The following is an 11,644-nucleotide window of genomic DNA, read 5'->3' as shown; positions in this document are numbered from 1 at the left end:
GCTTCCTCAGGCACAGCAGTGGAAGCCAGTCCTCCACCCCCTGCGGCTCCATGCCATGCCACCCCCTCTTTCTGCCAGCCCTGGCAGAAGCTGGCCTGAGTAAGAAAATTCACCACCACCTCTTGCAGGTACATTTTTATTTCCAAGATGCTCTCATATCTGTGCTCTCACTGCATCCTCCCTTCCCCACATCCTGGCTAGATTGCCATCAGACGCAGAGCATGGATGAGGACACTGAAGCCTGGACCTGTGACGTCGCTTGCCCAGTGAACAGCAGGATGGGCTAGGCCGCGCTTTTTAGACCCTGCACCCCTGGCCATCCATGATTATTGAAAAGAGTGCGCGGGTCGGGTGCGGTGGCTCAAGCCTGTAATCCCAGCACTTTGGGAGGCTGAGGTGGGCGTATCACTTCAGGCCAGGAGTTTGAGACCAGCCTGGCCAATATGGTGAAACCCTGTCTCTACTAAAAATACAAAAAAAATCAGCTGGGCATGGTGGCTTGCACCCGTAATCCCAGCTACTAGGAAGGCTGAGGCAGGAGAATCGCTTGAACCTGGGAGGCAGAGGTCACAGTGAGCCGAAATCATGCCACTGCACTCCAGCCTGGGCGACGGAGCAAGACTCCAGCTAAAAAAAAAAAAAAAAAAAAAAGAGTGTGTGGCCTGGCACTCAAGTTCACATGGGTGTGCAGGCATGCCTGTGTATTCTCACATGACCTCCCTGCTCACGGTCCCTCCTTGCACTCATGTCTGAATGTCCCCGCGTGCACGCACATGGCTTCACAGATCTGGGCAGTGCCTTCCCTACCCTCTCTCTGCAGGGCCTTTTGCCCCCTCATGCAGGCCCCTGGATAATCGGCCCCATCCCCATGTCCCCATCTCCAGTGTATCTTAGCTACCCTAGGTAAAGGAGTGGGCTTTTTAGTTCCTAACCTTCCAGAGCTACAACAGCAGTCATCCAGCCAGGTCTGGGTGGGAACATTTTCTAGATACGGGTGCTGAGATCTCTCAGCCCAGAGAGAAGCCCTGGGGAATTTTCAGAGAGAAAGCAGTCTCCAGGTGGGGCTGGATGTACTGATGCCACTGAGATCTGTAAAGGAGTCCCTAACACCTGACATAGGAGTGACAAAACTGTTTTCTGCACCAACTGAGCAGAATACACGCAGCTGACCTGGGCTCAAGGTCTGGCCCTGCCACGTGCTGGCTCTGTGATGCTGGCCAAGTGCCTTCGCCTCTCCGGGCCACAGTTTTTTGATCTGAAGAGTGGAGCCCTACTCAAGCCATCTGCAGCTCTCGGGCTCTCTGACCTGACATCTTTCGGGTGGTGGGGACACAAAGGAAGCAGCCTCTATTGGGAGACCTTGTGCTTCTTTTTGGTCCCAGGACACTGCCCCCCACCACTCCAGTCCGGGTCCCAAGGGCCCAGTCAGCTCAACTGTAATCATGACAACATTGATCAAGCATCTTTACGTGCAGGTGCTGTGCCAAACGGTTCGAACGCTCTCTCATTTCAATCTCACGGCAAACCTACGGTGGAGGGGGTACGGTTGTATCCACTTTACATGTAAGAAACTGAGGCTGATATCAAGTGGTGGAGCCAAGAATAGTGCCTCGTTGCATCTTACTCCAACCTCTAGCCCATCCGGCCTCCTCCCTTCACGTGCGCCTAAGAGGGCTAGGGGGCCTGGATAGGGGAGGTCAGCTCCACAGTTTTGAGTAAACACACACAGTCTCAACTCTGATGACAACTTAAGTGCCAGGCATAGTGGCTGGCATGGGGCACACACTCAAGTCATGTTGTGCAGCACCTAACAGTTTATCAAAGTATCAGCAAACTTATTGTCCTGTTTGACCTTCCGCACAAAGCTGTCAAGGAAGGCAGGGTACGGAGGGTGATTCCTACCTTAGAGATGAAGAAACTGAGGCCCAGAGACTGCCCAGCTACCAGAAGGTGGATAGAGCGCTGGCCTCCATGCCTGCCTGACCTGGAGTCTGTCCAGTGCCCACCCACAGAACAGCCTCGGCCCTTTCCCATGCCCAGACACAGATGGCACACTTGCGACGGCCCACTCATAGCAGCTTCTTGTCCAGCTTTATTGGGAGGCCAGCATGCCTGGAGGGGGGCCAGGCATGAGGTGGGGTAGGAGAGCACTGAGAATACTGTCCCTTTTAAGCAACCTACAGGGGCAGCCCTGGAGATTGCAGGACCCAAGGAGCTCGCAGGATGGATAGGCAGGTGGACTTGGGGTATTGAGGTCTCAGGCAGCCACGGCTGAAGTTGGTCTGACCTCAGGGTCCAAATCCCAGAACTCAGAGAACTTGTCCTTAACGGTGCTCCAGTAGTCTTTCAGGGAACTGAAGCCATCGGTCACCCAGCCCCTAAATCAGTCAGGGGAAGCAACAGAGCAGGGCATGAGAACTCCTCTGTAGGCAACCATGGGACCCACACCCATGTCCCCACTGGACGACACCAGTCAGGACCACACCACCCTCTCAACTTCACTGGACGACAGCCCTGAGACCTCAGGCAGGAATCCCCCACAGCTGCCACCCTGGGAGAAGAGATATCCTTGCAGGAACCCCAGCACAAGTCAAACCCTGCCATCTCCAGGTCACCTCAGATGTTTATGCCCCTGGGCCTGAGGCACAAAGTGACAGGGTGGGGAGATGTGAAAGGTCAAGGCTGTCATTGTTTTCTGTGCAAACAGCACCGCCTGGAGTTGCACAACCTGGTGGCTCTGAGCAGGGTAGGACAGAGGGAGGCAGCCTCTCATTTGGAAAGTCATTGGAGGATTGATTAGTTGTGTGATCTGGGGCAGGTCACCTAATCGCTCTGAGCCTCAATTTTCTCATCTGCAAAGTGAGAAAATAACACCTACCCCAAAGCCGGTTCTGGGGACTAAGAATGTTTATGAACACCTCTGCTATGCCAGCTAATGCCAGTCAGGGTGAGGTGGAGAAGGGAGTAGGGGAGAGGAGAGTACTGATGGGCAGGGGCAGGATGGGAGAGGAAGGACACACTTCTGCTCACACTGGCCCCAGGTCTTAGAACAAAGCAGAAGCACTCACGGGCTTGAATTGGGTCAGGTGGGGCCTCCCAAGGCAAACCCCTAGCCCAGGGGTCCCCAACCCCCAAGTCATAGATAGGTACTGGTCCATGGACTGTTAGGAGCCGGGCTGCACAGCACGAAGTGAGTGGTGGGTGAGTGAGCAATACCGCCTGAGCTCCGCCTCCTGTCAGATCAAGTGGCCTTACATTCTCATAGGAGTGTGAACCCTATTGTGAACTGCACATGCCAGGGATCTAGGTGGAGGGCTCCTTATGAGAATCTAATGCCTGATGATCTGAGGTGGAACAGCTTCATCCCAAAACCATCCCCGCTGGCCCATGGAAAAATTGTCCACCACAAAACTGGTCCCTGGTGCCAAAAAGGCTGAGGACCACTGCTCTAGCCAGACCTTCAGAAAAGGAAAATGGGGCCAGGCGCAGTGGCTCATGCCTGTAATCCCAGCACTTTGGGAGGCCGAGGCAGGAGGATCCCCTGAGGTCAGGAATTCAAGACCAACCTGGCCAACATGGTGAAACCCCATCTCTGCTAAAAATACAAAAATTAGCTGGGTGTGGTGGCGCGTGCCTGTAATCCCAGCTACTTGGGAGGCTGAGGCAGGAGAATGGGTTGAACCCGGGAGACGGAGGTTGCAGTGAGCCGAGATGGCACCACTGCACTCCAGCCTAGGTGACAGAGGGAGACTCCATTAAAAAAAAAAGAAGAAGAAAGAAAGAGAGAAAGGAAGAGAGGGAAAGAAAGAAAAAGGAAAGAAAGAAAGAAAGAGAAAGAAAGGAAAGAAAGAAAGAAAGGAAAGAAAGAAAGGAAAGAAAGAAAGGAAAGAAAGAAAGAAAGAAAGAAAGAAAGAAAGAAAGAAAGAAAGAAAGAAAGAAAGAAAGAAAGAAATAGAAAGAGAAAGAAAGGGAAAGGAAAGGAAAATGGAAATGAGGGCTAAAACGGCACGCCCTAGGACTGCTCCGGGGAGAAAGGAGGGACCTGGGAGGAATGCAGTCTCAACTCTGTCATCTCTCCCGCAGCAGCCTGACAAAGGCCCTGTGAGGAAAGAGGAGGCTGAAGAGGCACAGGCCCAGGGGAGGCTGGAGCACCTCCATTCCATTGTTGGGATCTCACCAGGGCAGGGGCGGGTGGGAATGGAGGCAGCTGGCAGGGGGGATGGGGAGGGAGGCCAGCGGGTGTACCTGGCCTGCTGGGCCACCTGGGACTCCTGCACGCTGCTCAGTGCATCCTTGGCGGTCTTGGTGGCGTGCTTCATGTAACCCTGCATGAAGCTGAGAAGGGAGGCATCCTCGGCCTCTGAAGCTCCTGAGGAAAGAGCAGGGCTGAGTGGGGTGGATCGGCCTCTGGACGAGCCCTGGGCTCCTGCTTGACCACCCATTGGGACTGGGATCCCCAAGTTGCCTCCACCCTGCCCCCAGCCCAGTCCCACCAAGTGCTTACGGGCAGAGGCCAGGAGCGCCAGGAGGGCAACAACAAGGAGTACCCGGGGCTGCATGGCACCTCTGTTCCTGCAAGGAAGTGTCCTGTGAGGGGCACCCCAGGTCCCCATGCCTCTGGACCCCTCCCTGGGGAGGTGGCGTGGCCCCTAAGGTAGAACCTTAGCTGGGTCTGCCAGAAGGAGTAGGGGCCGGCTCCCTGCTAATACGGGCTCTCAGAAGGGGGACTGGTGAGGGGCGAGGGATCGAGGCCCAAAGGGAGGTGGGTGGGATGGAGCAGAAAACCCACCAGACTGAACATCAAGGCACCTGCGGTCTGGACTGATCTCCGTCCAGTCCAGCCAACATGCTGTGTGTCTTTGGGTGATTTCTGGCCCTCTCCAGGCCTCAGTTTCCCTGTCTGGGGTAGGACTGGGCTGTCTAAGGCTTCCTCCAGCCCTAAGCCTGAAGAATGAGGGGGGAACCTGCACTTGGAGCCACTTCCAGCCCCACCCCCTGTGTAGCTTTGGGCAAGTGACACCCCTCCCGGGCCTCCATGTTCTTCAGGTTATGATGAGGGGTGGGGGGCACCCGTCCAGCTCCGAGGCTTCCTTAGCTCTAGCAAGTGCTTCTCCAGGCTTGCTGGCTGGGCTGGGCAGGGAGCTCCTCTTGCCCCTCTTCATCCTCCTCCCCTCCTCTTTCCCCTCCCCAGAGGGCATTACCTGGAGCAGCTGCCTCTAGGGATGAACTGAGCAGACAGGCAGGAGGGTTCTGACCTGTTTTATATCATCTCCAGGGCAGCAGGCACTGAGGACCCAGGGCGCTGGGCAAAGGTCACCTGCTGACCAGTGGAGATGAGGGCCTGAGGCAGGGTGTCCAGATGCAGCAAGCGGGCGGGAGAGTTGGGAAATCCCTAGGAGACTGAGTCCACGCTGCTGTCCCGCCAGCCCTGCAGCCCAGATGAGCTCAGGAACTGGGGGTGGGCCTGGGGAGCCCTCATTCCTTCCTAGCTGACTGGCTCCCCAGGGAGAGGCTGGTGAGAGGGGAAATGGCTTGGACATAGGCCAGGGGCCTCGGGCCCATCTCAGCCTTTCACACTGGAATTTCAGGCCCCTCCCTCCACCAGCCCCAAGCCCTGAACACAGCCTGGAGTAGAGGGGTGAGGGGCTTCTTCAGACTTGAGAACAAGTGGGTGGCTTGGGCTGGGGGGTGTTTGGAGTAAAGGCACAGAAGACCAGGCATCAGTGGCTCCGGCAAGGCCTGGTTACAGGGCTGAGCTCTCACAGCCCCTCCCAGCACCTCCATCTCTGGGTTTCAATCCAGGCAGGCGAGTGCTGCTCACCCAGCAGCCCCCCACCCGCCCCCACCCTGTGTGCCCCCCGCTGCCTCCCCCTTAGTGTAGGGCAGGGGTTGGTGGAGAAGGGCCAAGGCCGCTCAGAGCCCGAGGCCTTTGCCCCTCCCTCCACCAGGCTCCCTATTTTGCCCTCTGGACCCACTGATAACATCCCCTGGGGGAGGAGCTGGTCTCATGTCTGGGGCCCTCCCCAGCCCCCACCAGGACTGATTCTCTCGTTCACCTTCCTGGGTTCCTCAGTGGGGCTGGGGGAAGAGCAGCCCTCACTGCCCCCTGGCTGTGGGAGCAACTGGGAGGAACAAGGTCTGGTGAGGAGAGGGCACAGAGGAGTTCTGCGGGGAGTCGGTGGTCCAGGAGGGGCCGCTGACCCTTCTCGGGGCTGAGATGTCCCCTGGGCCCACAGTGAAGCCGCAGCAGGGATGGCAGGATGAGGGCGCCTGTCTTCCAGATGCTGACACCTTGGAGCCAGGACATCTTAGGCTTAAATGATGCCTTTGGCACGTAATAGGACCCAGGTCACAGAGATAACATCTCAGAGCCTCAATTTTCTGAGGATAAAATGGGGCTGGAATACTGATTGCCCAGAGTGGTGCTGAAAAGGAAATGAGATAGAGAAGTACAAAGCAGCGGGTCCATGGAGGGACTCACACCTCCCTCTCCCTCCTAACGCTGTGCCCTTCCCAGACAGCAGAGTCTGCAGGCAGAAGGAGCCTCTAACATAAAAAATAGAGCTCTGGCAGCAAGCTGTCCTCTCAGAAGTAACTAACACCACAGTATGAAATCAGAGGCCTGAGAAAGTGGCCCGGCTCTGCCCTCAGAATTCTTTATCGGTGGGTGAGACTTGGAATTCCTCTATTAGCGATCCATTCCTGGCTGGGCACAGTGGCTCATGCCTGTAATCCCAGCACTTTGGGAGGCTGGGACGGACGGATATCTGAGGCCAGGAGTTCGAGACCAGCCTGGGCAACATGGCGAAACCCAGTCTCTACTAAAAATACAAAAAATTAGCCGAGCATGGTGATGCACGCCTGTAGTCCCAGCTACTCAGGAGGCTGAGGCACGAGAATTGCTTGAACCCCGGAGGTGGAGGTTGCAGTGAGCAGAGATCGCACCATTGCACTCCAGTGACAGAGCTAGACTTGGTCTAAAAAAGAGAGAGAGAGAGAGAGAGAGAGATTCATTCCTTTGACTTAAGACTTTGTTTTCTGTTAAAATGCAAATAGAACCCTGTGAAGTAGACGTTAAGTCCATTTTATAGGTTAGAAACCTAAGGCTCTAAGGGCTCCAAGTGCACAGCCCATTAGTAGTAAGGCTGGGAACCTTAATCCAGGTCTTCACACACCCCAGGCAAATACCAGACGGCTTAGAGCACTGAGACCCCTATAGAGGCATCAGTCACACGCCCAGAACAAACCTGTCTCAAGTCTCCTGCAGACTTTGGTGGTGGGGTAGAAGGTGAAGAAGTGGTCACTGGAGGATTTGGTATTGGGGATGCCCTTTCCTCTTCTGCTGCGGCCTGCTCCATAGCCCCAGAGGCAAAGGCACAGTGGGGACCCAGATCCAGGCAGGGGCAGGCAACAAGGTCTATGGGCCCGGGTGTGCTAGAATGGGCTGGCGGGGTCCCGTGGCCCCAGACCCTCCAAGCCTTTCCATCTCTGCAGAGGGTCTGGAGGAGCCTGGCCTCTCTCTCCCGCATGGCAACGGACCCAGGGAGGTCAGGACATGTGGGTAGAGAGACCTGGCAGGGTGCTGAGCTAGATGTAGCACACCTCCAGGAAGCCTGGTACCTTGTCTCCTTCCAAGGGCTTGGTACCTGAGAATACCTGTGGCCCCTCACCAACAGTCCAACCTGCACCCCGGCAGGGGATCTCTTGGTGGCCAGCCTGCGCTGCCCCTCTCTCCCATCATGGCTCCCCTGGGATGAAGACTGCTCCAGGGAGAAGCCAGTGGTAGATGGGAGGAAGAGGGGATTTGACCATCCGGGGCCAAAAATGGTCCTCTGGGGTTGGGCTGTTTCACCTTGTGTCCAGGTGAGGTTTAGTACATGAGCCCCCATGCTCCATGCCCTTCCCACCAGGCTGGGCTGGGCAGCCCTGATTCAGACCTGTTGGCCAGAGGCCCTTGTTCATCACACATCATCATGCCGGAAGTTCCTCCTAGTATCTCACCCAGCTCCCTCCTATGGCAACAGGAGCTGTCCTTCAGTTCTGCCCGGGGGAGGGCCCCTTGAAGCATACGTGAGGCACATGTCCGTGTGACCTGCCTGTCCCTGGCTGGATCTGAGTTGTCTGCTCCTGACTCTGACCTCTGGACTGACCCCTGGTTTGATCCCTGTGTGGTTGGCCAGGAGGGGTGGCTGTAGCTAATGCTGAGCTATCAGCCTCATTGCCTCACCAATCATTAAGTCTGCCTGTTGCACAGATAAGGAGAGGCTTGGAGAGGCGATGTCTCCCTCGAGATCACACAGGCCTTTCATGCCCACTAAGATGGACGTCCCTGACTCACAGGACCAGGCCTGGCTGGAAGGCAGTCTGCTCTTCCCATCAGCTACTTGCACCCTCTAAGACTGAGCACAGGGGGCTCTCATTCTCTCCCTGCTCCCCAAAACAAATCCATCTACAGATTGATGCAAAACGTACCCTCAGACTTTGGGAAGTAAATACATTCATTAACAGGTCACGTCCCCGCCACGTTGAAAGGCAGCAGGTCCCCTCGCGAGCGTGGGTGCACGCATGGGCTGTGCCAGTCCCTTGGTTCTTAGTGATTTGCACACTTCTGTGAATCCACACACACTCTGGTGGATGCTCTCGGACATGCTCAAATGGTGCAGGCGCTCCCAGCATGGGTGCACCCAGGCGGGCGGGTGAGACAGAAGCGCCTCTGGACCTCTCACATGCTAGTGGCACCGGCTGCTAGGACTGTAAGTCCTGGAGGTCAAACTGCGGCTGAGGTGTCATTCGTGACTCAGTCTCCTCCTCCCCTCTGGCCTGGGGAAGGGACAGGGGCACTGAGTACTGACCTTTGCTCCCGCTGCAAGCTGGACTGTGCCTGATTCAGGAGCAGGGTTGGGACCGATGGGTTCCAGGGAGGTGAGCCTTGCAGGAGTAAGACGTGGCTAACATTTAGTGATCACTTTTCCTATGTGCCAGACATTGTTGCAAGCACTATAAGATCATCTCAGTGAATCCTCACAGCCTAGGAGGCAGGTACAATGGTTATGTCTCACCAAGGTAACTGAGGCTCAGAGAGGTTATGAGACTTGCCCAAGGACACACAGGCAGTACGTGTTGGAGCCTGGATGCCAAGCCAGGGAGTGGACTCCAGCATCTGACCCCAACAATCACGGAGAGATGGCACAGGCTGCATCAAAAAGGAGGCAGCATGGTAGCGTGGGGACCACTACAGGGCAGTGGGGACCCAGCAGAAGGGGTGCCAGAGTCAGGAGGTCATTTGACTGCCTTTGACCCTAGGAAACATTAAGCCACTTCTGGAAACTGAAAAAATGAACACAAAGCAAATTAGAGTTAGTACAATTGTGGTCTACTCTGATGGCGTTCATTTTTACAAATAAATGTAGCTCACTGTTGTCAGGCACTGCACTCACCGACAGGAGCCAATAGTGCAACGTGCCTGGATGTCACCTCATAGTCACTAGGAGTGGTGTGGTCCGGCAGAGGGACCCATGCTGACGTGGTGTGTCACCTTCTCAGTGGATGTTTGTGTGTGATTATGCATGCAGCCTCATTTAGAGATCCAATAGACATCTAAGTAGAAGACCTCCTGGGCACCACCACCATTGCCCTCCATCCCCCAATGGGAGGTCCCCTGAGAGCCTCAGGTCCCAAGATTCTGCTCAAGCCAGCTGCTCCTGCCCAGGGAGTGTGGCTGGGGGGCAAGAAGGGCAGGAGTCAGGCCTCAGGCTGGTCCCACCCATCACCCTGCCTCTGGCCCACCTGGCGCCCCTCAGAGGGCTGAGTCTCACTCTGCCACTCTCACTAGAGGAGGGAGCACTCTGCTACCCTCCCTGCTTTGCTCCAAATCAGGAACACAGTATGATTATTATACAGTATGATTATTATAATAACAGCAACTATTTTTCAGAGCTTACTCTGTGCCAGGAGCTCTATAGGCAGCCCTCTGTATCCTTGGTTTCTGTGTCCATGGATTCAACCAACCTTGGATTGAAAATAATTTTTTAGGCCGGGCGTGGTGGCTCACGCCTGTAATCTCAGCACTTTGGGAGGTTGAGGCGGGCGGATCACGAGGTCAGGAGATCGAGACCATCCTGGCTAACACGGCGAAACCCCATCTCTACTAAAAATACAAAAAAAAAAAAAAAAATTAGCCGGGCGTGGTGGCGGGCGCCTATGGTCCCAGCTACTTGGGAGGCTGAGGCAGGAGAATGGCGTGAACCCGGGAGGCAGAGCTTGCAGTGAGCCGAGATCGTGCCACTGCACTCCAGCCTGGGTGACAGAGCAAGACTCCATCTCAAAAAAAAAAAAAAAAAAAAAAATATATATATATATATATATATATTTTTTTTTTTAAATTGCATCTGTGGGCCGGGTGCAGTGGCTCATGCCTGTAAGCCCAGCATTTTAGGAGGCAGAGATTGGAGGATCACTTAAGGCCAGGAGTTGGAGACCAGCCTGAGCAACATAGCGACACCCCATCTCCATTAAAAACAATGTTTTAAAAAAATTGCATCTGGGCAGGGCGCAGTGGCTCACGCCTATAAGCCCAGCACTTTGGGAGGCCCACATGGGAGGATTGCTTGAGGCCAGGAGTTGGAGACCAGCCTGAGCAACATGGTGAAACCCCGTCTCTGCTGTAAATACACAAATTAGCTGGGCGTGGTGGTGGGTGCCTGTAATCCCAGCTACTCAGGAGGCTGAGGCAGGAGAATCACTTGAACCTGGGGGGCAGAGATTGCAGTGAGCTAAGATCGTGCCACTGCACTCCAGCCTGGGTGACAGAGTAAGACTCCATCTCAAAAAAAAAAAAAATTGCACCTGTACTAAACATATACAGACTTTTTTGGTGATTACCTCCTAAACAATACAGTATAACAACCATTCACACAGCATTTCCGTCGTATTAGGTATTATAAGTAATCTAGAGATTTAAAGTATGTGGGAGGCTGTGCTTAGGTTATATGCAAATACTATGCCATTTTATATCAAGGACTTGAACATCCATGGATTTTGGTATCTGCAGAGGGTCCTGGAATCAATTTCCCATGGAGACTGAGAGATGACCGTACTACCCACTTCGCAAGCAATGTCTTCTTTAATGTACTGAACCATCCCATTGTTCAGAGGAGAAACTGAAGCTCAGGGCTTTGAATAACTAGACCAAGGAGGCACAGCATGGGAGTGGGACATGAAGCACTCTACAATTAACCCTTTCAGGACAAGGCCCTGTCTCCCACACCCATCTGCCCAAAGGCTCTCCAGGGCCCCCTCCTCTTGGGTGTACCTTGACAAGAGACCTAGATTTTAGCTCACTATGCTGTCTGCAGTCCTGGATGGTCCCACTCCAGTGTCTGGTGCTCTGAGATGGAGTCAGCATTAGTGGCGGATGTGGAGACTGGGGGGACCTGTCTTCACTGGGGTAGACAGAGGAGATGTGGACTTTGCCCCCCATGAGCCCGGCACAAACCCAGAGCCGCCAGCAGGGCCTCGAGGCATCAGTCCCGGGCTCATGGGCTCCCTGAGGTGTTTCTCCTACTGTTTTCCGTTCCCCTCCTCCCTTCCATGCTGAGGTTGGTGGGGTGGGGGTGGGGGTGCCCACGCACGGAACAGCCACCAC

The 11,644-nt window shown here is 55.0% G+C and overlaps 1 protein-coding gene across 1 annotated transcript, besides 4 other annotated features; it reads right to left on the bottom strand.

Annotated features, from left to right (window-relative positions):
- Positions 2,070–5,235, bottom strand: APOC3 (apolipoprotein C3). Its single transcript, NM_000040.3, has 4 exons — positions 5,202–5,235; positions 4,505–4,572; positions 4,246–4,369; positions 2,070–2,378 (listed from the first exon to the last, which is right to left on the bottom strand). Exons 2-4 carry the CDS (start codon positions 4,557–4,559, stop codon positions 2,258–2,260), a joined length of 300 nt encoding a protein of 99 aa, NP_000031.1. The 5' UTR covers positions 4,560–4,572; positions 5,202–5,235; the 3' UTR covers positions 2,070–2,257.
- Positions 4,783–5,715: an enhancer, noted in NCBI's record as "H3K4me1 hESC enhancer chr11:116700143-116701075 (GRCh37/hg19 assembly coordinates)". NCBI's record gives its function as "activates a minimal SCP1, AML or CMV promoter by ChIP-STARR-seq in naive H9 embryonic stem cells {active_cell/tissue: H9 hESC(naive)}" and the evidence as "EXISTENCE:reporter gene assay evidence [ECO:0000049][PMID:30033119]".
- Positions 9,335–9,629: an enhancer, noted in NCBI's record as "tiled region #10241; HepG2 Activating DNase matched - State 5:Enh, and K562 Activating DNase unmatched - State 8:EnhW". NCBI's record gives its function as "activates a minimal TATA promoter and a strong SV40 promoter by Sharpr-MPRA in HepG2 cells, with weaker activation in K562 cells {active_cell/tissue: HepG2 | K562}" and the evidence as "EXISTENCE:reporter gene assay evidence [ECO:0000049][PMID:27701403]".
- Positions 9,335–9,850: a biological region, named in NCBI's record as "skeletal muscle cis-regulatory module in APOA4 and APOC3 intergenic region".
- Positions 9,484–9,850: an enhancer, noted in NCBI's record as "Amplicon_123_11:116201218-116201584 (NCBI36/hg18 genome assembly) insert fragment". NCBI's record gives its function as "drives selective reporter gene expression in differentiated C2C12 myotubes {active_cell/tissue: C2C12}" and the evidence as "EXISTENCE:reporter gene assay evidence [ECO:0000049][PMID:22144875]".

The sequence above is a fragment of the Homo sapiens genome, chromosome 11 (genome assembly GCF_000001405.40).
Source record: "Homo sapiens chromosome 11, GRCh38.p14 Primary Assembly".
NCBI lineage: Eukaryota > Metazoa > Chordata > Mammalia > Primates > Hominidae > Homo > Homo sapiens.
The sequence above is the reverse complement of the archived record's forward strand: the minus strand, read 5'-3'. Positions and strand labels throughout refer to the sequence as shown.

Coding starts and splice junctions, on each gene's coding strand:
- APOC3 (NM_000040.3), bottom strand. CDS start 4,559: ATGCAGCCCCGGGTACTCCTTGTTGTTGCCCTCCTGGCGCTCCTGGCC. Junction 4,370..4,504: donor GGCGCTCCTGGCCTCTGCCC/GTAAGCACTTGG, acceptor CTCTTTCCTCAG/GAGCTTCAGAGGCCGAGGAT. Junction 2,379..4,245: donor CAGGTGGCCCAGCAGGCCAG/GTACACCCGCTG, acceptor TGACTGATTTAG/GGGCTGGGTGACCGATGGCT.